Here is a 27,181-nt window from a genome sequence, read left to right on the forward strand (position 1 = left end):
ACCCCCCATCCCCCACCCAAGGATAGTGTCCAGCCAGGGAAAACAACAATATTAAAGGTGCTTTAGACTGTTGGGTTTTCAATTGTGTTGAATCAATTACATATAAGAACAGTATCTTTTGACAGTATGGTGAAGCTAGATCTGTCTGAGTGAAATGCATTATATCAAGTCCTGACTGTCTTTCTGGGAATGTCCACAGCTAAAAATTAAACCTTTAGTTCTTAAAGTCAACTTCAATAAGAGGGATTATTTATATTAAAAACAAAATTAAATTTCCATACTTTTGTTCTTTTCATAATAAAACTAATTACACCCTCATAACAATAATTGTGAAAAGAAACACAGTATAATAAGTAAAGAACACATTTGCTGTTTTTATTGGTGCCTTGCATGGCAGTAATACTGAAAAAGGAGAATGCAAAAAAATAAAATAAAATAAACAAAAAACAAAAACGAAAAACAGGTTGGTGGCAACCCACATCTTTTTTTTAAGAGCACATAAACTCCTGTTTTATTTTTATTGTGGCATGAATGATAACATAAAACCAAAAACATGAAAATATACAACTTATATTACACTATGTGTTATGAACAAAATATAAATCTATAACTCTATGTTATATTTACATAATTACTTATTATTTTATTAAATTTCAAGTGAGATGGTAGGTTGCACATACTTTGTTTTAAGCTCCAGGCATTTGATTGTCTCTTTTCTATTTTTTTTCCATTTTTACTTGTAAAATCCAAAATATTAGAAGGACTAAGAGCTTTAGAGCCAGTGGAGCTATATAAATACTGTTTTAGTGAACCAGTGACGGAAACACTGGGGAGGACAGGAATCAATCAATCAGTAGGAAACTCAACACATCGTCTTCAACCTGGGAAGTTGATAGTTATAGGATACTTTAAAATTAAATACTGTAAAAGCCTGGCTAAACCAACAGCTATGCCCTACAAGACAAAGGGATACCTGAACCACTTTAAGTGGCCTTCATAGTTTTCCTTGCAGACCCCGTAAGTTTTATTTTATTATTAATTTGATAGACAAATACCTTATAAACCTGTTTGTAAATATACAGTTGTTTATTACAATTCAACAATTTACCCATTAGAATGAGTGAAAGTGTAATTATTTTTTATGTTTTAAATGTGATATAAGAGGTTTCTTCTGGGAACAGTCACAGCTTCTGGATTAAGAAAATATCTGAAGTTGGACCAAAAAATGGTTAATTTTCTTTAAGTGAATTAAGGTAAAATTCTACTCCGGAAATCAAATCTATAAAATAGCTTCACCACAGAAAACTTTTTTATATTTGTTCTTTATAAGAGGATTTGGTTCTAACGATGATTATGTTCTTTGGGAGGGATTTTATACATGGTTAACTCTTAACTGCAGATGCCAAATGAACTTCACAAATGGACTTCACTAATTTAGGTATAAATGTGCTGAAGAATAGTTTTATATTTTATCCAATTGTGGTAAGTTAATCACTAACTTATTATTAGTAACTATAAATGAGTAACTTTATTTTCTCCGGTAATGTTCTCTTAGATTCATATGAAAACAGGACTATTTTTAGAGAAACGGACTACAACAACTATAAAAACCAGAATTCTGGCAAGATTATTTCTCAGTGTTGGGGCAAGTGTGTGTGTGTGTGTGTGTGCGCGCGCGCGCGCGCGCATGTGAGAGAGAGAGAGAAAGGGAAAGAGATAAAGTGTGAACAGATAGGTAAGAAAGCAGACAGGAAGGAGACTGTTTATGTTTTAGTTTGATCTTTTGATCTTACTCTCATTTTCTTTATCTTTTTTGGTCATTATGGGGCACAGAAAAAGAATACAGGGTTTTAGGATCCTTTACCAAAATTATAAATCAACCAATGCCAAAAAGGCAATGTAGTAACACAGTAAGTTGCTATTCATAGCACCTTTTATCAAGTGACTTCAAAGCACTTTCAACATTAATATAACTATTTTTGCTTTTGTTTTCTTTTGGGGAAAACTAGGGCAAAGAAAATTTGATGTCCAGTGAATTAACCGTCAGAACAAGAGAACAGAATGCAGCGGTATGAACTTGCTTTTTGTTTCGGTTCATGCACAGTTTAGTCTCGGACATAAACCTAACTAAAATCAAATTTTGAATTTCAGCAGTTAAAAGTCACCATTAACAATTTTGTTTTCCCCTTCAAATAAAACAAAATATAACAAAAAAAAGACCAAACACCAAAGTGTTGTCAATTCATCGGTAAGTGTGTTAGAATTGATTTCAGCCATGAATGCCTTCAATGGCATCTACCTGGAGCTAAAACAAAGTATTCTTGTAGCCCAAACTCATGAAATGAAAACAAAGCATCTTTCATAACATGGTGTAAAGTAAGTATCCAGCAAACGTGAGAGGTGAACCCACATAAATCGGAAGGAATTTGTTAACAAAGACAGAGAACAAATTTTTTAAAAATCTGTTTTCACATTGTACATAAAAATGATATAAAAACAAGTGTCTATTTTTTCCTTATCCAGAGTGCTTAAAAACAAAACAAACAAAAACAAAAAAAAATTGGCTCTAGATGACTGTGGCAATTAAATAACTAAAATGAGTGATGAGAGCATAAGTTAATTAAGATTGAACACGACCCTCCTATTAATTCACTCCTTTGTTTTAAACATCAGAACTGATATTGTTGGGGCCAAAATTCTTAAAAAAGAGAAAACTTACGGAAAGAGAAGTAAAATTGTGGGTAAATGTGTGTGTGTGTGTGTATATGTGTGTATATATATGTATATATATATATACATATACATACATATATGAGTTGGAGATGGAAATTTGTTTTAAATATCTAACAGCTTATTGGCTGCACTTCCAAATCAGAGCAGAATAAAATAGAAAGGGAGAAATAAAATAAATTATACATAACTTACTAATCTGGGAACAGCTGACCATTATTATTATTATTACTATTATTATTATTATTTTATCATCATCATCATTACAACACTAGCAAAAAGAGGCAGTTCAAATGTAAATAAAGTCATCAAAAACAAACAAACAGAAAAACAAACAAAATGAAATCTCTGACATGCAGGATATGATCAGCTCCTCCAAGCAAAACCCCAGAGCAAGTCTTCTGAGAGAGAGAAAAATAAAAGGGATTCTTTTTTTATTTATATGTAAAAATCCAACTTTAGGGTGGTGTTTCGGGGGGTGAGATAGGAAAATGATGACTGGAGTGAAAACTATAGCACATCAAGCTACTAGTTGCAGTATTTACTATCTATCTGATACTTCAATACAAATAATGGCAATTGACTTGAAATGATTTTGCATTTATTTGTACAGGCCCTACAACTGCCTTGGCATTTGGCTGGCAAAATCTACATAAGCAGTCCCATCACATTCAGTTGTTGCTCTTTGCAAATACTCTGCTTGAACCAAAGTTGGACTTCAGTGGATTAATCTGACAGCAAGGGAAGAGCAGTGGCAAGGATCCCTGGGTGCAGCCAGGCTCCATTTTATTGGGCTGCAATGACTTTTAATTAAATCCTACTTTTTATGGCATGAACTACATATGGCCCACACTTCTGAAATGCTAAAGGCCTCCACCTCACTTCATGGAGGGGTGAAAAATACCTTATAAAATCATCAGTTTCATTTCCTGATCGGGAAAGGATGGAATGTTGAAGAAATAAGCTAATTCTATTTGTCTGAAAAAATGGCCAAATATATTCAATGAAAACAATGATTGTTTTGCTCAAAATATCAACAGGAAAAACAAAAATCACTAAGTAGCAAACGTTAATGGAACCAACTGACCAGGGAGAAAGGACATCTGGGAGCAGTTTGCTAGTAGCTTCCATGTTATACATGCACACCTCTATTACACAGGGCCACCTGATCCATCCAATAATAATCAGACATTTAAAAATATAATTTCTGAGCCCTATACTTGGTTAAGTTGTCATTTGAAGTGCAAAGTCAAGGTCAAGATTATTTCTAGACCAGTCACTTGGGAGGATGTGGGATTTCATCCCCAGATGTGGGTTTAACTCACAATGGTCCAACGTTATTCCTATTATTAGTACCATAATCACATACATACATACACACAAAAATCCAAGATCAGAAAATATTTTTCTCTAAATTTCTTATGTCTCTCTCTCTCTCTCTCTTTTCACCTGAGAACAGCACCTACAGTTTCCATTAAAAAAAAAAGTCAAATCTCACCAGCTGCTGGTATTTCAGGTTTTTCAAGGGATTGTCTAAGATTTAACACTGTCCTAACTTAAGAAGGAAAAGGAAAAAGTAAAGAGAAAAAATGAACTTGGTCAACACTTCAGTACAAATTTGGCACTTGCTCAAAGATGTAGTGTGGTGTGCAATAGATAAAGTCCTCTAAAGAAAATAATTGCTTATTTTGTGGTGGATAGCAAGGAAGTTAAAAACAGGCTCTTTTTCCCTCTTTCCCCTCATGCACAGACTTCCATCTTTAAAGTAGAGAGATGGAGAAGGTGGAGAGAAGTAAAGAGAAATTCATTTTTCTTTTTTTTCTGTCAGGTGCATTACAAAGAAAAAAAATGAAAGGAAAGAAAAAGAAAAGGAAAAAACCCAGAAACCCCAAAAAACAAAACAAAACTTTTTTCTTTTTAAAAATTGTAGCACAAAACAACAAAACACATTCACAAGCCACTTGTTGGCACTGTGTACCTGAGTGAGAATTTCTAGAACATTGTAGAACAAACAGCCATAAAGTTTATTTAAAAAAAAAAAAAAGTTGACGGGTAAGACTTCAGTGCTTGGATGTAGCAGCTGAATTACTGGCATTATTTTACCCATAGCTTATTTCAATCTCTTGTTGTTGATATTGTTGTTTGCTTGTTGTATTTGTTTTTTCTTTCCAAGCCTTTTGAGGCTGAGGTCTATTAGTCAGCTGATGTCCCAACTATTTAAGACTAACAGTTAAAGTAACAGTCAGTGTATGAGAAAGTTAATGTGCTTGGCCACTGGTAAGGATGAACCAGTTAGGGCTTCTTTAAGTCCTAAGGTCACAACAATCTTTTGACCCTTATCAGTTGGCTTGTCCTGCAATATGGTTTTCACTGTCACTCCCATAATCTACATCTGGATCATCCTCTTCCTCGTCGTACTCATCATAAATTTCTCCATTGATGTCCTCGGCCTGTATCTCTTCTTTGATATGTGGCTCCTCTCCTTTCACACCGTAAGTGCTCTGGATAACAGGCATCCCAGGCTCTGGGCTGCTAGACACGCTTGAGTGCTCCGAGGGCAGGTGAGGGGAGGGCATCCCAGCCATGGCGATGGCTCCAGGGTACACAACACCAGCAGTGGCAATGGGGATCTGTGCTTGTTGCCTGTCAAGAAAGGAATTTCCAAAAAGACATCGTGGGTAAGTGAATAGTTAGATGTGGACTTTACTACATAATTAATTTGCTCAGCAATGTCCAATTCTAAGGTACTAATTTTATCTAATTGCCTAACATTTTTCAAACTCCATCCTACTTGAACTTTAATACCTTGTTTTTCTTTTCTTTTCTTTTTTTTTTTTTTTTTTTGAGATGACGTAGTTTCGCTCCTGTTGCCTAGGCTGCAGTGCAATGGCGTGATCTTGCCTCACTGCAACCTCCCCCTCCAGGGTTCAAGCGATTCTCCTGCCTCAGCCCCCCAAGTAGCTGGGAATACAGGCGCCTGCCACCACACCTGGCTAGCTTTTGTATTTTTAGTACAGACGGGGTTTCACCATGTTGGCCAGGCTGGTCTTGAACTCCTGACCTCAGGTGATCCACCTGCCTCGGCCTCCCAAAGTGTTGGGATTACAGGCGTGAGCCACCGCACCAGGCCTAATACCTTATGTTTAGGTAGTGCTTTATAGAGTACAAGATATTGACATGTGTTGTCCATCTTATTCTTAATCCTGTTTGTTACTACTGTTTTATTAAAAAACTGAGGTGCAGAAAGATGAAGCAGAAGAACCCAGGTCCTTGATTCCAAGTTCATTTTTCTTTCATTATAACATGCAGAAATAGTATTTTTCCCTAGAATTAAATCTAAAGATAATTAAATTTTAATGGGAAAATCCTAAAGCATTAGAGTTCTCAAAATAAAACTTTACTGCCCAGAACACACCAGAACTGAACAAATTCACACTGTCCACTGAGTCTCTGAAACAGTTCTGGCCTCGTAGTGGTAGGAAGCAGGAGCAGCTTCATGGATGTACAAACTGTGCAACTGCACTAAGGTCCCATACTTGGTTTAAAGTTGTGCTGCCACAGACTTGAAATTCTTAATAACTTTTTAACAAGAGACCCTGTCTCCTCATTTTTGCATCTGGTCCTATAAATAATGTAGGTGGTCCTATTGGAAAGGATGAATAGATGATGTGCATTTATGCTTGTTTTTATTCATTCGTATGTTTACTATTTGCCCAAGAACTGTTGGGCATTGTGTTTAGCTTTGTGAGGAGTCATGTGCTTGCATATGAATCACAGACCACTGGACAGAGCATGCAGCCTCTTCCAAGGAACTGGAGGGGACAGAGCAGATTTGGAAAGGTTTTATGAGTCCTTCTCTGCCCATATTTAGAACAATATTTATTATTCTAAGAAGCTCTTAGAAACTAACTTCTGTTTCAAATATGAACAACTTTATTTTGGGTTTTTGAGAGAATTCTATAGAAGCAATGCATTTCTGTAGCCCATCTACAGCACTGTCAACAACCTTGCCACGGGAGCATTGTAAAACATCTCGGAGCTGCGTTCTCAATTCAGAATGAAACCTCCTGTTCCCAACCTTGTTACACCCTAAATATAATCCCTAGCTTGTGTGATCCACAAAGGCCACACATGTACCTTGATAGCTCACTAACCTCTCTATATTTAGAAATAAGTATTTTTGCTTTTGAAATGATTTTTATTTTGTATTGTCTCAACAAAGTTGTTAGTTTTAGAATTTATCATGGTGAAGCTTAGGAAGTAATGCAAACCAATGAAGAAAAGAACCAGTTATACTTCTAAGTTTTTAATAGAAAACTTCAAAATCATTTGCTTGTAGATATCTTGTTTTTAAACCAGTTGTTAACAAATCTCATGGTAGAGCTAGGAACTTGCAGTGGATTCATATGGACATATTTTTCAAGATCATGTGGGAGACTATTTGTCTCTGAAAATACTGTGAGCTCAGATTCTTTTTCAAAATGTCTTTTTGCAACTGAACAAATATGTTTCACATCCCATTAAGTATAACAGGAAGTTTGCCCCATGAGAAAAATGACTAAAAGGTACATACCCAACATTGAAGTACTGCCGCATTTCCTGCCGCCTGTTGCGCATGATTGCCTTGTATTCACCAATGCGCAGCTTTTTGCCATCCACCAGGCAGGTGCGCTTTGGCCTGGGCTTGTACTTATAGTCAGGGTACTTCTCCAGGTGCTGCTTGCTGAGACGGGCTTGCTCCTCATAATATGGCTGTTTCTCTAGGTTTGTCATAGCTTTCCAGCGAGATCCTATGAAGAAAGGAGGTTAGGATTCCAATTTGCACAGCTTCTAAGCATTCCAGAAAGTGATATGGCTGAGAACAAGAAAATCTAAAGTTGAGATGTTAGCCAAAACCCAGAAATACATAAACCTGTTTTTGATTAGTGAGATCCCACAAGAACAGAGGTGGTGGTGGTTTTGTACCTAAAGATATAAACACTGGGCAGTATTTTTTTTTTTCTGGTTTGCATTCTAGCCAAACTTTTGTATTATGTCCCTTAAAGCTCATAGATAATTTAATGGATACATTTCTCATTTCTACATTAGATCATGATATAATTCACATGTGAACAGAAAAGTTACATGATATGTTATCATGCATTTTGAATCTGAGACTAATTATCTAGTTATTGAATATTTTTATGTGGGAGATGTTTTTTACTACAAAAGTTCCCAACATATATCATGTAGTCTCATCCTCCCCAAAATGTTTAAGTATTTTAAGCTTACAGGAATGGTAGTAATTAAAAATTCCTTTGATTAAACATTTAATTATAATTAAAATTATAATATTAATAAACATGGAGTGGGTAACTACTATGTGCCAGACACTGTGCTGAAACCTTGACATACTGATGTCTTTTTCCTACCTTTCACCTCAATCTTATAAAAGAGACAGCATTTCTATCTATTTTCATAGATGAGAAAATTGAGATTCAAATAGATGGACTAACTTAGCCAGGGTCATAATTACTGAAGTACAGATCTGTGACTCAAACTCAGATTTGATATAACTTAAATTGTGCTATAATGTATGCCCTTTCCTACATATGGCCACCTACTATACAAAATATAGCAGAGGTCACAATTACTGTAAATGCGTATTACGATTTTCTCTTAATAAATCAATTTCAATAACATACAAAGACGTCACTTCCCATGATACAGTCTGCTTTAGTAATAATAACCCAAATTGTTTTCCCCCTTTCTTTTCACTATTAATTTTGGTGTGAATTTAGCTGGGATTAAAAAAGACAAGTTTGAAGCTTAAATAAAAATAGTTTATGCTAATTCACATTTTAGATATGGTTTAAAACTTGGATTCTGTCAGTATGGCTATGTGTAATAGAAGTGGTAATGTGTCCGGAATTGGTGGGTTCTTGATCTCACTGACTTCAAGAATGAAGCTGCGGACCCTCGCGGTGAGTGTTACAGTTCTCAAAGGCGGTGTGTCCGGAGTTTGTTCCTTCTGATGTTCGGATTGAGAGGTGACAGCGTGCTGGCAGCCCTCAGTAGTAATAGCGTTTTTTTTTTTTTAATAGTGATTTAAAAATCTATTTGCAGATGAAGTGTGTTTATCTGCAAATAGTCATCTCAACTCAACGCGAATGCACAAAGACCGATAAACTGGAACTAGGATATCCCTACCAAATGGCCTTATACCTGCCTTCAAATGTCATCTAAGTAAGATCTTAGAATCTTTCGAATGAGTTCATTACTCACCCGTAACTCCCTATCTTAAATGCAAATAGCTCACTGTTGAATAGTTCTTCCTTACACATGTAAAGAGTTCCTCAATATGGGCTGTTACATTTATTAAAGCATACAGTGAAAGAGGCAATATCTCTTCCCTTAGAAATGTTACCATTGGAAGAGATATTGTATTGCATAGGTATAAATATAGATTTTTCCAAATCTAGAAAGCCAATGTGAATTTATTCTATTTACAGTATAAACTCAGGTTACAGTGCAAATAATAGAGTTTCTTTTTCTATTCCTTTCGTAAACTTCTGTTTAAATAGCATCATCCAACATTAGGTTGGTTGGTCAAGCCATATCATTTGTAGGGACAATCTCAAACTCCTTGTTGGCCCAGCATTATTCTCTGAAGATACTTGAATACCATTATGTTATTCTCAGGGCCTATATAAACACAGATATGGTTATGATCCTATTGAACTAGAACAACCGTTTTCATTGAGTTTCTTCCAAGCATTTATACCAGTTTTTTGAACTTCAGATCAGGGAGTGGAAAGTGAGCTTACCATAAATAACTCACAAATAGGAATACACTGATAAATGGATCAAGGATGGTTGATCTAATATAAAATTTATTAGCTAGCTTTATCCCAAAATTCGAAAACGAAACCAGCATTTTCTTTTTTTTTTTTTTTTTTTGAGACAGAGTCTTGCTCTTTCGCCCAGGCTGGAATGCAGTGGTGTGATCTCGGCTCACTGCAAGCTCCACCTCCCGGATTCACGCCATTCTCCTGCCTCAGCCTCCCGAGTAGCTGGGACTACAGGCGCCCGCCACCACGCCCGGCTAGCTTTTTTTTTTGTATTTTTAGTGGAGATGGGGTTTCACCGTGTTAGCCAGGATGGTGTCAATCTCCTGATCTCGTGATCTGCCCGGTTCGGCCTCCCAAAGTGCCGGGATTACAGGTGTGAGCCACCACTCCTGGCCAAGCATTTTCAATTAGAAGGGGAATTGCCAAAGATTCTTCCCTAAGTTTAAATGATCTATACGCCAAAAGGCTTTGGCCTCTCAAAGGAAAGAAAATGTTTATGCTTAGAAGTAATCTGCCTTGGAATGCGAGAGCTGTTTGTTTGTATATTTCCTACTATGTACATAATGTTGCATTCATTCCTTAATAAATATATAGTAGTGAGTGAATACAGAAAGTTATAGTTCCTGTCTCTTTGCAGCTTATATTCAGTCAGGGAATATACATTAAATATCTAATTACAAAATTTATTATTTTCCTTATAGTTGTAGAAAGTACAGGAAGGTAAGAGAATATGATGAGGCAAGATCAATCCTCTGCAGGTCAGGAAGGCTTTGCTGTAGAAATGACTCCCGTGGGGCTCACAAAGAGAAGAGCATCCTATTGAGGAAGAATATAATAGTTGAGGTCTTTCGGTGGAAAGAGGAGTTAGACTAACTTAAAGAAAGCTGGTCTGGCTTAAAAAAAAAAAAAAAGAGGAAAAAAAGATGCGTGTATGTAAAGAAATGGGATAATAAAAGATGTGTAAATTCTCAGATAAGTTGGCTTCCAAATCTGGCATGAACGGGAATTATAAAATAGTTTAACTCTTGATAGTATAATTTCTTTGAGAGTATCACTGAATCCTAAATTACACTTTAAAATATGGCCATATAATAATTCCAAGTCTTTTCAAAACTAAGAATAAAGATAGGCTAAGTACTAACCGGGTCAAATGGCTGACTGACTACTATATTTTATGACAGTACAGGGCAGTGTTTCCATTTGGTGGTAAATCCAGTTTTCATTTTCAAAATAGTAACCTTGAATTAGCTTAACCAACTGACAAGTTTGGTTTTGATTTCAATGGCTTTGCAGGTACTATAACCATTGTATGCAGCTGAGGTGTTAACTAACCCCTGAAACATACTTGATGAGAATGGCAGGAAAATATTTTGGATAAACAACAATAAAAAAAAAAAAAGAGAGAAAAAATATCTACTTGATTTGGGGGTGGCTGGCTGCTTACTCTGGACTGATGTACAGGGAGTTTATTCATTCCCTGCTGCTTTCAAAAGGTTGTCGTTTTAGAATAAAAAAGCAGAGAAGGAGGGATAGCATTAGGAGATATACCTAACGCTAAATGACGAGTTAATGGGTACAGCACACCAGCATGGCACATGTATACATATGTAACTAACCTGCACATGGTGGACATGTACCCTAAAACTTAAAGTATAATAATAATAATAATAATAATAATAATAATAATAATAATAAAAAGCAGAGAAGGACAATTGGGTTTTCCTCCTGATGACAAAAGAGGAAGTTTCAATCAAAAGTATTTGATGCTCAAAATAGGGGAAAAAATAAGGTCCAACGATTATTCCTTTCCTTTCTAAATCTGGCAATACACTGAAAGTGAAGAGTTTGCGCTGGGCAACATTGTCATCTCCGTGGGGTCTGTAGTGAATTTGCACATTTTACTCCAACTAAACTACTGTATATCTAATCAGAAAAAGATGTCCCTCTTCCCCTGATCTAGCGCCAAGCAGTAAAAGGTGATTCCTTATGTTAACAATTTCAGCAGAATGGCTTATTAAAACCAGATTTTAGGGTATTATAAAATGCTTAGAAGCCCTTTAAAATGTCAACTACGATCCCCAGAGACTACGTAAAATGTCAACCCAGCTCAAGCGCCTGTTTTAAGCAGAATGAATTAGCGGCATGCTGTCGGAGGCTGTTATCCAAAACAATCAGCAAAGAGGAAAACATCAAGCTTTCTTTGTACTTTTGTATGAAATGGGTCATTTAGAATGATCTTGTGGATATTTGAAGATCACTTATTTATTTAAAGCTGTGACTAAATATTGAGCCCAAAATACCTCAATGTTTTATTTGTTCCTAAATATAAATGTTATATCTTTAAAGAATACATTTTCATCAGAAAGACTGAAATTAGGCAGTATTCTCTTTCATGTTGTCTATTATAATATAATCATATGGTCATTCTAATATTCTTTCCCTCAAATCAGAAGGGAATTCTCATAGCCAGTCATCTCTTTTCCATAGATACTTTTGCTACATTTCCTAAAATATCATTTCTTATCATCAAAACTGATATTTCTCTTATAGTTAAGATAGTTTTAATTAATGATTATCACCTTTTTGGTATTCAGACACAAGAATTGAATAATATAAAGACAGTTTTGAAATCTTAGTATTTAACTTGGTTTTTATTCTGACAATTTTGGATTTCTAATTTGGGAATAACTGATATATTAAAACATGAAATATGCTTACATAAAGTATTCTTTTCTAGAGTTTTCCCAAATGAAACTGGTATGTTGTTTTTTAAAGATAGGAAATTTCACATGGAAGGTAGAATATAGTCACAAAAAATATAGTCACAAAAGGGAAAAATAGATCAGAGCTGGTAGAGATGTAAAAAAATGTGTATTTCCTCTTGATCAGTTCAAGTTTTTGATTATGCATGATATATATTTTTACACACAGATTTTCATATTTTCTATGTATACTACTGAAAGCTTTGCATGTTCATGTCTTTTTAGATAACATTTAGGTGAAAAATGAGACACAATTTTAAGTGGCTAATGGTTTGTTTTGATCCCATTACAAATGCACCTTGTGGACTAGGTGGCATCTATTATCTTTGTTGAGAATATGGGATCATAAAAACATACGGCCGGGCGTGGTGGCTCATGCCTGTAATCCCAGCACTTTGGGAGGCCAAGGTGGGCGGATCACCTGAGGTCAGAACTTCGAGGCCAGCCTGGCCAAAATGGTGAAACCCTCTCTCTGCGAAAATACAAAAGTTAGTTGGGCATGGTGTCCCGCGCCTGTCATCCGAGCTACTCAGGAGGCTGAGGCAGAAGAATTGCTTGAACCCGGGAGGCGGAGGTTGCAGTGAGCCGAGATCACACCACTGCACTCCAGCCTGGGCGGTAAAGCGAGACTCCATCTGCAAAACAAAACCTCATGCATATGTTTGCCATTTATAGATGATCTGTAATGAATCAAAAGTGATACTATTTTTATAAACTCCGTGTAATTCCAAGTGCCTTACGAATTCTAATAAAACTTTAATAATTTTGACAAATTTTGTTACTTATTTGTTAAAACCAACATTTTCTGATAAAATGTTTCTATTCTATTTTTGTCACTTAACTCTTAGAAGTCACAGAGTGAATCATCAAAATTTTCTTAGGTTGTCTAGTATCTGGCCATCAGACAGTGATGAATGACAATGACAGTGATAATGATGTCAGATAAGGCACAAAAGCAATGGAATCTTCTTTTTTTCTTTTTCCCCCTGGGACCTGAACTGGTCTATAATAGGTATCTTTATAATCAGCACCCTTTCTCCCCAACCATTTTTCCTGTGTGCTACAGTCTCTGTGTGGGTAGAGTAAATGCGTACTTTGTTTTCTGTTCAATTGAATGTTGCAATGGCAGAAAAGTATTTAGTATGACTAAAAGTACCTTTAGTACTTAAGGTTACTAAAAGTATAAATGTAAAAATGTACACTCTACATCTTCTTGTGTTCTGAAAATCTAAAACTGATTTTCAATTATAGCACTGGAACAAACATCTTCCCCACCTCCACCCTCACCCCCACAACAAGATGAATTCCGCAAATAAAACTCCTTATCCTTCTGTTACAGAGGATGATGAGAGAGGAAGGAGGCCTTAAGATTAACAGTAAGTTGTCTATAGTATGCAAGGAAATGAATACAAATGATCAGTAGCAATATCTAGTGGCTCATGTGAAAGCAACTTTTTTCTCAGCTTTAGTAAAAATATTTCTAGATTTTTGAAGAAGATAAAGCATTAAAATAATTAGTATGAAGACAAACAGCTACATGAGCTATAGAAATATGGCATATTTCTCAATGGACATAGAATGCTTCATCACCAGAAGAAGCCTCAATGATGATGTTTATTTTCTGGATAAGCAAATAACACGACCTGTATGGCCTCCAAATCCAGGATCCTTCCACAACTGCAGAAAACAGAACAGTACCTTTATTCCATACGTCACTTAGTTCTTAATGGTTTTCTTACCCAATATCTTGCTGATGTTGGAGTTGTGCATGTCAGGAAAGGCTTGAAGGATCTTTCTCCGTTCATCTTTAGCCCACACCATGAAGGCATTCATTGGACGCTTTATGTGGGGTTCATTGCTACCACGCCCTCGGGATTCCCTATAAATTCTTGACTCTGAGACTCCAGCACTTCCTGAAAACAGGAAACATCACTTCGTGTTAGCGTTAAAACTTTTGTCAGCTCTTTTCCTTGCATTCCTATTTTTCAGTCTATTAAGATATCTGAAAAGAAAAAGTACTTCTGATAATGGTACTTCCAGTTCTTAAGACAGATGCTTGTTTATGAAGTTTTTCTGATAAGCCTTGTGGTGGCAAATGTTATATTTGTATTTTTAACCAATTTCTAATCTGTTTTCTCTTTCTTTCAATGGACTGTTTCACCATTTACTTTCAACAGCTCAAAATAAACTCCGATATGTGATTTTTGATGCAATTCGGAAAGAGGATAGTCAGATTAAATCAACAGGCATACCAGTAGTGTAGAAACATTAAATAGGTAAAGAAGCACAAATCAATTTGGCAGAATGGATGATTATAGGGGAGGATATATCTTTGCTACTTAAAGACTGTCTGAACATATAGTACCTTATGTTCTCTTTCTCTCTCCGAGGTTACAAAAATAAAAACACTGACCAAATTTTGAGGTTAAAAACAATATAGGTATTTCCCTGTAATATAATTGGCTTTTCTTTGAAATTATATGCTGACAAATGCATGACATATGCTGATACAGCAATGACAGGTCTGCCCCCCAAAATATATGTAAAACTGGTATGGAAAAGAACAAATGAACAGTTACATTCCTCTAGTTTCTTAAGGAGTCTACAGTCACATGTTTAAGATGAGAAAAATAATAATTTCCTTTGAATTTTCCCCCTAATATTTAAAGTTATCCAAAGAGTCCCATGGACAGTCACATTTCAATCAGTAAGATTCACAGATGATAAAACACAATTCAAGAGTTAACAACGATAGCTTTGGAAGCTGCATTCACTCCTCCAGCCTTATGTGACCCCTTAGAATGGCTTCAGCAGATTAAATTGCTTCCAAGATACTTGAGTTTAGGCAAAGAGAAAATAAGGAGAACCAGTAGAACTCTGACAGTAGGTTTTCACTGGGTATTATCACAAAATAAGTAGATGTATTTTGATAGTATCCAAAACTTTAAAAATACTTTGGGGACTTGTAGAGACTGTATTATCAACAAAAGCACTGCTTTTCTTTTCTTGCTTTGTATTCATTCCTCATCTTTTCTTTATTTTTAAATTTGGAGACACAGGAATCAAACAAAATTGCCCAAACTTGAAGACCTCTATAGCAGCACATTCAAAACATAGCATACCTGTTGGTGAAGTTTCTCAATATTTTTCATTAATAACATGCTCTTTGATTTAATGAAAAGTAGAAAATATTTCACATACAAGCATGATTGAATTTAGGTAATGACAGCAACAAAAACTTTGATGTGTTAATGCTGATTACTGTGGGTATATTTTATCATGCTAATACAACTTAAAATTTATGAAATGTGTTATTACCCGTAATTGTCTTTTATTGACAAAATAAGTGCAAATATATGGCAACATCTTCCTAAAATGGGTTTGTAACTAGCAAGTGATCATTTGCACATCTGCCTTTTCTTGTTCTTACACCTTACAGCAACATAAGCAATAAAATGAACATTATGTGTCTTCATCAAATCTAAACAAGCTCTTTAAATGTACATAGGCTAGGTTTATCTTAGCTAAGTGGAGCTGAAAATAGAAGAAAATGTTTGCAACATTAGACCCAGAAAAATGCAAATTGAATCCAATTGAGTAAAATTCAGTTTTGATAGAATTACGTGTTTCAACGTTCAGGTTTGTTTAGTCCCTTGATTAGTATAGACCTGGTCTTAAAAGTAGAATTGGCCCAAGGCACAGAGTAAACAGTTGTGTATATTGGAGGATTCAAGGGGACCCCCTCTCAAAGTATGCATCTCACTGGTTTGCCTTTGTGCACTCTTCTCTATATGCAGGGAACTTCCCTGTAGTAGTAACAAAGTTGAGGGCGGTACTGCCAAAGGAATGCTTAAAATGCATGGATGCCACCTGACAGTAGAGAGATGTTCCCGGTCAGGGTATTGTATAAGAAGAACAGCACTTCCTTCTTTTTCCCTCTTTGCTACGCTATTAAAAATCAGAGTATCAATTTAATTTCTTCTCACTGTGGATGTTTAGAATGTTCAGAGATGATACAGAAAACAGAAGTCTGAAGGCCTATGAGAAGGGAGCATAAAGCTGTGCAGCTGGTTTCTAGTTAGGTTATAGAGAGTGGGCCCGACACTTGACTATGTAGTACATAGCACTAGGGAGAAGGGTTCCAAAATGTAAGAAACTATCGTGGAAATGTCCTCTGAGCCATGTATTCTGGTGAGGGCTTGACAAATAGAAACTTAAAAAATGAGCCAATAGAAACAAATTTCTGAAAAAGTTCATTTTGGGTACAAGAAATAGGGAAGTGAGGCCGCATGCAGTAACTCACGCCTATAAAACTAGCACTTTGGGAGGCTGAGGTGGGAGGATCACTTGAGCCCAGGAGTTTGAGACCAGCCTGGACACCATAGTAAGTAAGTCCTCATCTCAAAAAAAAAAAACAAAATTGCTGGGCATGTTGGCATGCACCTATAATCCCAGCTACTTGGGAGGCTAAAGTGGGAGGATCACTTGAGCCTGGGAAGCTAAGCATTTTGAGCATTTGCTTTAGAATCATGCCATCTCGAATTTAATTCTTGCCTCTGACACTTAGAGCCCTGTGACCTGGGGAAAATGCTTCAAAACTCCTGAGGCTCAGGCTCTTTCTCTGCAATGGGACTTATCCTAGGTTGACTAGGAATTAAATGAGACGATTTCTGCAAAGCACTCAGCAGAGTGCTTGGCACATGGGGACTGCTCAGTATATGTGACCTCTTATTGTAATGATGAGGTATGAGGTGGCTGTCTAGTCTATTTTTTAGCAGTTTTAATTGGCACTACCTAGACACTTTCTTGCATTATTAGAATATGTATGAACAATTTTCACAAACCATCAGAATCTCCACTCAGATTGAAATCCATCATTGCATGGCTAAATTTTCCTTCTTCATTCTGTTTAACTGCCAGTTGCTGAGTCAGACTCTCCAGTGTTGTTTTTTCCTTTAAAAAAATTATAATGAGAGATCAGTCTAGGAATTAAAATTATTTGAAGACTTTCTTTTTTTGGGCCACATATATAATACATTAACTCCTGGAAAGGATGCAATGTTGATATATTCACCTTTTTACGTTCAGCACATTAACCTGAAGTCATTAAGGGGATGATCAGCACGATTTTTGAAGGAACTCTGATTCTCATAGACCCCTATAAAGTCTTGGCGTTTGGGTTTGGTATGCCTAAGGGATATATGCCGGGATCCTTGGAGACAACCTTCCCAAATTACAAAATGTGCACAGAAATTTCATGGAAGCAACCTGTTTTACATTTGGAATGTCTGCTTTATTTTTGGCCAGACAGTAGAAGTATAGGAGTGGCGTGAAGCCCAGAGAAAGTCTTCCAATAGTCAGGTGACCAAATAATAGAAACATAATTCACAGTAGTGCCCTCTGGTTGCCATCTTCCCAAATGCCATCTGCATTCCTCATGCAAGGGTAATGAAGACGTTTAAATATTCATTGCTAATTGCTTGTCAAGTCTCTGTACATCCAATGTGAGTGCCTGCTACTTGGACCACAATTTGATTTGGATTGCTAAGCCAAAATATTGAGTTGGCGAATTATTTGAGATACAAATATACCAAAATTAGATCTACAGAGACATCAAGTTGTTTAAGCATGCAGTGCACGATTCACATTCATGGAGAACATAGCATTTCAAAATAAATTATTTTTAAGAAAAATATAATGCTTAATCTAAACCATATGAGACATTACTGTCAAATTAAGAAACTGGGTGACTTTAGGAACAGAAAAAGCATATAATGAAACTTGATAACTTTCTCGTGAACTCTCCAGCACTGCTCTGAGGATGATGTAGTACCAAACAGCACCAAAACAGTTTTAAGAAATGCATCCATTGGATCTCATAACATTATCTCAAGTTTCTTTATAATTATTCACCTCATTTTCTGAGGAACATAGTCATGAATCATACTAGTGAACGACATACACTGCAGAACTGCTATTGACACAATAAAATGTTCACAGAAAGTAATCAATGATGTAAGATAATTGTATTACAGGTAAAGGGCCCAACTAATGTTCCCACCAAGAACTAATGAGATATTGAAATTCTTAACACAGTACATGCTTTATCTCAATGAAGTCTCTGACAATGTGACAACTGTACATACTAAATTAAAAAATCTCTTAAGTCAGTGGCCTTGGAACTCCTGTACTCTATTCATCAAATTATGTACATTATTTAATAGAAAACTATTTTTAAATTGTCAATCAGTATAAAATACAGTAGAGAAACTGGAGACAAAATAGTTTATATTAACTTTAGTTCTATAGAATTAAATAGTATTAAAGTTGAAATAAGTTACGCATTTAAAACTGTAGAATCTGACTCGATTTGTTTTGTGTGTGAAGTTGTTGTTTTCAGCTGCTTCATATGTTTTGGATGTCTTTTGCTGAGAGAGTCGGCTGTATATATTCAGCTGAGCTCAGGAGCATCAAGGACACCAGCTTAACAGACTTTCTTTACAGTAAATGTAGCTGTTAAAACAAAAGACAGTTACATTTGAAAACACACGCACACATACACACATTCCATCAACATGATCTGATAGTCCTCGGGTCAATGAAGACTTTACTGTACTCTCTTTGAGGAATGTACGGGGCTTGGATCACCTCTTAGCTTTTGATTTAACAGTATAGGGCAATAATACTACACATTTTCTAGAGAGTTTTCCATTCTGAAGCAAAGTCTTTCAAGAAGAAAAAGCAAAATTAATCAAAGTAGAAAAAGAACGACACGTTAAGTGACTTCCAAGGTTCTGAGTTCAGCTCTACAGATGCTGTGCTGTCTTACCAAGAGACTAAAATTAACAAATATGAGCAGGAAAGTCACACTCAGTTTTTACAATAAGTAACCTATAATTATCCACCACTAATGCACCCAATATTAATAAAATGATTCAGTTAGCTACCCAAAAGTAAAACTTACTATGCTTCTCAAGAGGACGTCAGTGGGACATAGTGGAAGTCAACACAGTAAGCTGTACTTTCTCGTAACCCTTTGTATAGTAATTTAAGCTAACAGACATGAGAACAGGCAAAAGGAAAGGTGATTGCAGGAAATGGAGAATGTGAGGTATGCCTTTAATTAAAACAGATTATAACAGCATGCAAATCAAAAGGATAACGTTGCCACATTTTTTTTAAAAAAAGTGTGGACAATAAATTCAGAAGAAAAAGAAACTGATGTGAGGAGACAATAACTTAAGTAAAAAATAATTGTCCTATAATTCCATATGACAACTGATCCTATAAAGCTGACACATAGTACTTATGTATAAAAGTAGATATAAATTTATATGTGGTTAGGTGTCTAGGTAATATATTGAACCACCAAAAGAATGAATGGGATTTAAGAATAGTTCTCAAAAGTTTAAATTCAATTGAATGGCATATAGGAGGGGAAAGACTCAGCCAAATGTTATAAAGCAGAAGTGCTGACACACTAGAAAAATCTCTCCTACTCTATCCTTTTAATCCCACCTGTCTCCAGCCATCCCCTCTCTGAAAGAGTTCACCTATGCACTATCATGTATAAAGCTCAACCATTTGAGGTTCTGTTCTGTGGGTTAAATATTTCCTTTTCTAAAAGTGTTTTTTCATAAGAGCAAATACTACTGGAAAAGGTAATATTTTGATTCTCAAATTTCTTATAAATAAATTACTCTTTTCTAAATAGAGGCAGATGGAACAAAACAAGGACAGTAGATTTCAGGTAAGCAGAGGGTTAAGTGGGAAGATGTTGAAAATGGGAAACACCAAAGAAACTGATTTTGGGAAAACAAATAAATGTTGATGGGCACAAGTGACAATTTTTTACCGATCTTATAATCTGATAAAAATCATGTTGGTGATATAGATCTTATAATCTGATAAAAATCACGGCTCTGATAAAAATCATGTTACTCAAGAGTTTCTGCAGAAAAATAGCATCCCATTCCCCCATTTAAAGGTCACCATTCTGGAACACAAATCCAGCACAGCACTTAGGAATGCTGATATGAAAATGACAAGATTGATTGGTCTTCTCTCCTTTACCTTCTTTTTACATTTTTATACATTTAAAGGAATACTCGCCAGAATTCTAAATGCGCTGAATGATGTCAGAATAGAGGGCAAAAAGAGATTAATTACAACAAAGTAGTCAACATGTAAAAGTCCTGGGGTATGGGCCAAACAAGATGACCTGTATGCTTTCTCTCTTGAATAAAAACTAGCAATGGGATAACAACTAGATTCCTTTGCAAAGATGAGTCTTATCTGCCTAATCACATCTTTACAACTCTGCAGGTTTGCTGAGATCAAGGAGAAACATTAGGTTAAGTCTGTTTAAAAACAGACTTGAAAAAATCTTCTGATTTTATGTTGACTTGAAACAAGATCGAAGTGAATTGTATCTCATCGACAGAAGACAGTTGTAGACCACATGGTTTCCTGGGTGCAAATGAGTAACTCCAAAATCTGACATACAGAAAACTATTATTAACGTATTAGTATTCACTTGGGGAACTTGGTAGCTGGTCTTGTGCTCTGTGACTTATCCAGAGACTTGCATAATGCAAAACAGCATGTGTACTGTTTGCACATAATCCCAGGCTATGGTGGGAATCTAAAAGGGGAGCCAAGAAATAGCTAAAGAGATATGGACACTTTGTTGATTGGAGGTGGTCAGTATCAATTCATACTTCTAAGCCAAAAACCATTCTGAATGGCGAAAGGCCACAGGGATTCATGGGAAGAGGACACTTTTGAGGTTAGAAAATAATGAGTTTTGGCATCAGGAATATCATATTTTAATCAAACTCTCTGCCGTATATATTAGCCATACTGCTTTAGACAAATATGTTATCCTCCTCGAGTCCCAGAATCCTAATTTGTAAAATGATAGTTAAACATGTGTTAGATTCTCATTAGTTTGAAAATTTTAAGATAGATATACTTTTAATATTATTTTTAAAATGTCAGTGGGGAAAATTGAAAAGACAGGGAATCTAACATGTGAGAATTACAGAAATAGTTAAATTTCAGTATTAAGTAGCCTGTTATGATTATAAACTCTATTCTGTATAACCAAATATGCACTAAAAAAGGGAATTTTAGTAACAACTCTAAATATTCTCAGAAATTTCCCCTCTTTGTCTATCATTTACAATATATTCAATCATTGTTTTTTATTTCAATTTCATACTCAGGCATGATGAGTTACAGTTCCAGACTGTAAGTCTAGTACATATTTAAACTGAAAAATTTTCCCTGCTCCATTATTTTGACTTAAAAAAAATAAAAAACAACTGAAAATTCACTATTTTTGCAAAGGTTCTAATAGGCATCCTATGTTGATATTTTACAGAGCAGTCAAAACAAAAGAACACACAAACTGTACTTTAGAGGTAGATATTTCCTTAGTTACCTAATCCTAAATTAAACAGTGCGTGAGTAGATAAGTCATCTATTACTCCCTGAAACTGGGATTCAGCTAAGTGATGAGCTTCGCTCTCCACCAGACACACATACACAAAGAGATAGGCTATGGATCAGCTATCATAATGGACATCCCTGAAATAAAGCTCACAAAGCTATAAAAGTCATAAAAAGCACATGCATGAAATGACAGAATAGAGTGTGACTGTCAAATGTTGACTCAGTAACAGTTAAACCTCTTCTGGCTGCACTTCTTTATGGTCTTCTACTATATTAACGACACGGGAAGAAAGAAACAAAAAACCCTCCAATTATGTGAACCTCACAGACCACCAAAGAAGATGAAAGATTACTTATAATGTCATAACGATTTATCAGTTGGAGATTTTTTTCATCAGCTTAAGTGTAAAGAAATAAGGCGCATGTCCACTCTTTAACCTCTCGTTTCACTCTTGCTTATTAATATCTCAATTTTTTTAGAAAATAATCATCTACCCACATAATATAACACCGAAAATGGGAGAAAAGGGTTTCTTGTAAGTTATGTATAAATGATATATAAACTATATGTGTGTGCACACACATACACACTCACACAAATACACACTTTCCTCTAACTCTAACAAAAGTACATGTTGAAGAGATCTGTCACTAATTTTACCTCCATCAAGTATGAATTTATCCGTGAGAATAGCCATAGACCCTTTGGTATTCTGGAATTTAATAATCCTTGAAGAAAATTTTTCTATTCATTTTCTCCATTGAGAATTATAGTGAGATATGAACTCAGGGGATGGAAAGGTCCATATACATCCTCTGGTCTAGGTATCCACAAAATCTGCCTTATCTAATACTGATTTTTTTTTTTCCCTTTCTGAATTCCCTCATGAATTGAAACCCATAATTTTGTTCCAGAATCTAATTTCCTTTTGTAAAATTTGGTAGCTTGCTTCATGAAAAGTTGCTTGTATAATTCTGACTCAACTTCTTAGTAGGTTAGTTTCATCAGGCAATCTGATCAAGTGAAATGTATTAACAGATCAAGTTTTCTTAAGAAGTACTACAAAGTCGAAGATGGTTCAGAAACACACAGTGTAGAAATTTGAGAGTTTTGGTCCAGGTGAATAACTTTTCAATATATGAAAATGACTTGATAATACTGATGAATCCTTATTAATGATTTTCAAAGAAGTGATTTTAAAATGGGAGGGATATTTCAAAACTGATGACAAATATCTAATTTTGATTTTTATGAAGAGAGAAATTTGAGGAAATATGACTTTAGCACTTAATGTATACTCCAGAAAAGATGGGGCTACCTATAAAGATTAGTTCAGAGCACTTGGTAGAGGTTGTGGTAATGACAGGAAGCTGGTATGGATTCACTAAACTAATGTTATAATGGCCTCATTTTCTTTTTTAATAGGTGTTGGAATGCAGACCGGGGAAACTCAATGATAATAATTGCTTGGACTTAACTTAGTTTAACTCAGTTTTTGAGCATCCTCCTATCCATTAAACCTTGTTGTCATAATGAAGAAATTACACAGGATCCTGAAAAAAAAAGGTTTGAGTAGAGTAGGAAGAAAAAATCAACAATCATTGTCTTTACATAAAATATCTTAAGAACCTCCATGTTTAAAAAGAATAAACAGCTGTTATTTGTGAAACAGAGATAGAGTTTGGCCATATGTAGTCAGGAGATAGAACACTGATCAAAGATTGTAAGTTATCAGGTGAAAGATAATGAACCAGTGAAGGAAGAGTGATCTAATAGTCAGAGCTGCCTATCCATTGAATGGGCTGTCTCAGGATGGAAGAAGTTTCCACCTTCCTAGAGATTTTCAAGTGGTGGACATACGACTACCTGCCTAGCATATTACAGATACTGAAGAAGCAATTCAAGGTTGAATGATAGGCCCTTTTCATTTTCTTTCAAACCTTCAATTCTATGATTTTATGTCCTACTTGACTGAACTCAATATAACAAAACTATTTTGACACATATCTCACAGAAAACAGGCTTTGATTCTTTTTAAACCTGGAGATGTGCAAGATATTTAAAGACAACTATCGCTGATATTTTCTTTCCACTCCACTGAAGTCTCTTTTTCAGGTTCTTGTGTAATTTGTCATATTTTTATACTTTCTCTATTCATAAAAGATAATTTTCTCAAAAATCATTAATAAGTTTCAACACTTAAAGCTATGGTTTTGTAATCAATAATTCCATAATTCTTTTCTTAAATTCAAGGAAGACATTTCAAATTATGAAAAAAACAAAAATCTGATTGCTTTTCAGACATATTTTGTGAAGAGACTGTCCAACAGTAATTACACTTACAAATTCAGGTACTTTGTTAAAGACACACTTACACGTCCCCATTCAACATTATGAATTTAGTCCTTAAAATAGAAAACCGCTGCCACAGGGAGGAAAAAAATCCCTATGGCCCGGATGTGTAATGTACAGAAAAGCTACTCAAAAGAATGTATAGAAAACAAACAATTCACCAAGAACTTTACACAGGAATACTATCACAGTAAAATATGGGCCCTTGCTTCTTTGTTATCATGGTGCTTATGGTGTGTACATGTGGAAGAAGGGAGGCAGGAGGGGAAAAAAACAAAACCTGGGATTTTAAATGTCTTTATATATGGTCAGGCTTCAGCCAATATCTAAAGAAAAGGTTGTGTTTCTTCCAAACCGTGGCAGACAGACATGTTATACATACTGAGTCAAATCAGAAGGGTTAATGTGAGAAAATCAGGAGGCCAACTAAGAAAAATAATACAATTTGCAACCTACACAGGATGTCCAGTTGGTGGGAGGGCTACACAAATGTAAACACAAAAGTGGAATGTTGTCTGATGATAATTATTCTATAAACAATGGGTAACTCAGTTACTGAGCTACAGAAACATATAGGATTACTTTCTTCAAATTTTCCTGTTCATGGAATAAAAGCTATAAAACTGGCAGGATTCTTACAAATGTAGCCTCAGTAGCCAGTAGTTACTTCAGTTAAATAAATATAATCTGACCATTTTAAAGAGTCATGGCTTGGTTCAGAAATGCTGGGTCTGACAATAGAAACAGGCACATCAGGGTTATAGTTCTCTTTTCAACTATCCATGGTAGTTTTAAATACAGAGAGAGAAAAATATATATTAGAATAGATATTTTAAATCTCCTTATAATGAATAGCTGAAACTTCGTCACTTGTTTTATCAGAGCTGCTAGGAGAAACAAAGTAACTAGGATTGAGTATATTGTTTTTGCTTTCTTGGTTCTTTCTCCAGTGATGGGGTTTGGTGCGCAGTGAAGACAGGAAGAACGAAGGAAGGAGCAAATACAGGAAAAATAAAGAATTGGAAAACAGATGTACAGATTGTGGAGATGGTGATTGCTTAAACAAAATTTTTTTGATCAAGTCTCAAAAATGTGCCAAGGGCTACACATGACCAATGCTGGGGCACAGGCGAATTGAACAGGAACTGCGTTACTTTCTGGAATTCCCTCTCCATATTCCGTTAGAAAAGAGACTGGGCTTTGAGCTGTAAGACTTCAATTTAAAGACTGATCTGCCACTTGAATTCCTCTATTCTTCTCAAATCTCAAGTTAAAAAATTGTTTTAAACAAAGAATACTGTTCTATTTACATTACAGAGTGAGAACAAAATATGAAGGGAAAGCCATGAGAAAATGTTAAGGTACAAAATAAATATCAATAGCTGTTATACTCCTATGACATAGGCATAAGCAAGTCTTTTTTATTGGTAAAAGAGGAGAAGAGATGTGATTGGAAAGATTCAATGAGACCCTTTAAATAAATGCGACATTCCTCCTATTTTCCTAATAATAGTTTTAAATCCATATTGGTAAAATAGCTTGCAATAAACATAATAAAGAATCTATCTACTAAATATAGAGAGTAACTGCAAAACAAACTTCTCCTTTATTATTTCAGTGTCTTCATTGTAAGTAAGTGTCTTGAGGGCAGCTGTTTGATCTTGAGGAGAAGAAGGAAAGAATCAAGGGGGAAAAGAAAGACCACTCTTTGATAGGCTAGGCTTTTATAAAGAGCAGTTCTGGCCCAACAACAAAAGTGAGTCTTACTTTACTTATTGAAAATTAGAAAATTCAGAAATGTGGAAATACATTTGAAAATTTACAACCCCATAACCTTGGCATAACTAAACTATTGTTGCCATTTTGTTGTATATTCTTTTAGTCTTTTATCTATGCATTATGGAAATAATATACTTAAAAAAATCAACATCATTCTATACATGGTGTTTTCAAACTTATCTTTTCAGAAGTACTATTGTGAGCATATCCTCGAATCCCTAAACAAATAGACAGTTTCAATCATCAGAGAGGCCTGTGGGTGTCTCTCTGAAAGCCCAATTTGGCATGCCCTATGAGTCTCATTTTATTGGACCATCCTACACTAACCCCTCTACCAGAATGATGTAAAGAACACAAGACTCTCTGTTTGAAAACATGCACAGCTTTTCTAGGCTAGAAAATTAAACCATAAAAAGTTTACTGGAAAAAAAAAAAACCTTTAAAAAGCTCCTTAAAAACTCACACCATAATTGCTCCCCACCAAGCGTGGGCACTTGCTAGCTGCAAGTAGTGGCACTGTGACAAATGTAGCAAAACTGAAAGCAGGCTATACTAAGAGAAAGAAAAAGTCTTCCACTGGCCATCTGTGAAAATAAGGCATGTGGCCATTAAATGCAGAGGCTGTAAATATACACAAACTCCATGAAGCAAATGGCAAAAAAGGACTAAACTTCAAGCTCAAACAAATCAAAATGTTTAATGCATAGTTACCACTGCTGGACGAAAACAGCTCTGATCTTTGCAGTCTGCAGACTCGGCATGTATTTCAATTAAATACCCCCAAAAAGAAAAGAAATAAAGAGAAAGAAATGAAAAGACACAGAAGAAAACCATCTAGAACAAAAGGCTATAGACAGCCTATACTCAATTTCTAAAAACAAACAGCCCCTTTAACTTGCATCAGCCTGTCGAGAATGTCGATTGGAATTATTGAAAGGCTGACATACAGAGTGATGGATGGTGATGACATAATACCTATTTGCCTTTTTGTCATGGTCTTTGAAAACTGGCTGCTCTGTGCTGATAATATTCACTAAGGGGTTTTCCTCTCCCCTCCTGTCCCATAAGAAGTGTTCCCTAGCTAAGATACTCAGAATTAAGAAGGTTTTATGAATGAAAAAACAAAAGAAAAGAAAACCTAAGGATCAAATGCCAACTTGCACATAAAAAGCTGGTCTAGATTTTCTAATAATCAGTTGCCTAGAAAGCCGTTTCCCTTTCATTTTATATAAATTTGCAGGGTAGAGAGACTCTGATAATAAGAAGGCAAA

The 27,181-nt window shown here is 35.5% G+C and overlaps 1 protein-coding gene across 40 annotated transcripts in view, besides 2 other annotated features; it reads right to left on the bottom strand.

The window, feature by feature from the left end:
• The window catches only part of SOX5 (SRY-box transcription factor 5), a 1,033,147-nt gene continuing 1,006,320 nt past the window's right edge, over window positions 355-27,181 (bottom strand). For all 40 annotated transcript variants that reach the window (XM_024449159.2, XM_024449158.2, XM_047429458.1 and 37 more), the window contains 4 exons: window positions 17,167-17,275; window positions 14,062-14,235; window positions 7,304-7,520; window positions 355-5,373 (listed from right to left, as the gene is read on the bottom strand). In XM_024449159.2, the coding sequence (XP_024304927.1) occupies window positions 5,070-5,373; window positions 7,304-7,520; window positions 14,062-14,235; window positions 17,167-17,275 (804 nt within the window). In that variant the 3' untranslated portion in view covers window positions 355-5,069. The remainder of the gene's footprint in view (window positions 5,374-7,303; window positions 7,521-14,061; window positions 14,236-17,166; window positions 17,276-27,181) is intronic.
• Window positions 9,493-9,662: an enhancer, noted in NCBI's record as "experimental_26611 CRE fragment used in MPRA reporter constructs". NCBI's record gives its function as "activates a minimal promoter by MPRAs in K562 erythroleukemia cells, with activity observed for both the introgressed and non-introgressed 12:23691661 variant alleles {active_cell/tissue: K562}" and the evidence as "EXISTENCE:reporter gene assay evidence [ECO:0000049][PMID:34662402]".
• Window positions 12,975-13,505: an enhancer, noted in NCBI's record as "NANOG hESC enhancer chr12:23695058-23695588 (GRCh37/hg19 assembly coordinates)". NCBI's record gives its function as "activates a minimal SCP1, AML or CMV promoter by ChIP-STARR-seq in primed H9 embryonic stem cells {active_cell/tissue: H9 hESC(primed)}" and the evidence as "EXISTENCE:reporter gene assay evidence [ECO:0000049][PMID:30033119]".

This window comes from Homo sapiens, chromosome 12, assembly GCF_000001405.40.
Source record: "Homo sapiens chromosome 12, GRCh38.p14 Primary Assembly".
In the NCBI taxonomy this organism is placed as follows: Eukaryota; Metazoa; Chordata; class Mammalia; order Primates; family Hominidae; genus Homo; species Homo sapiens.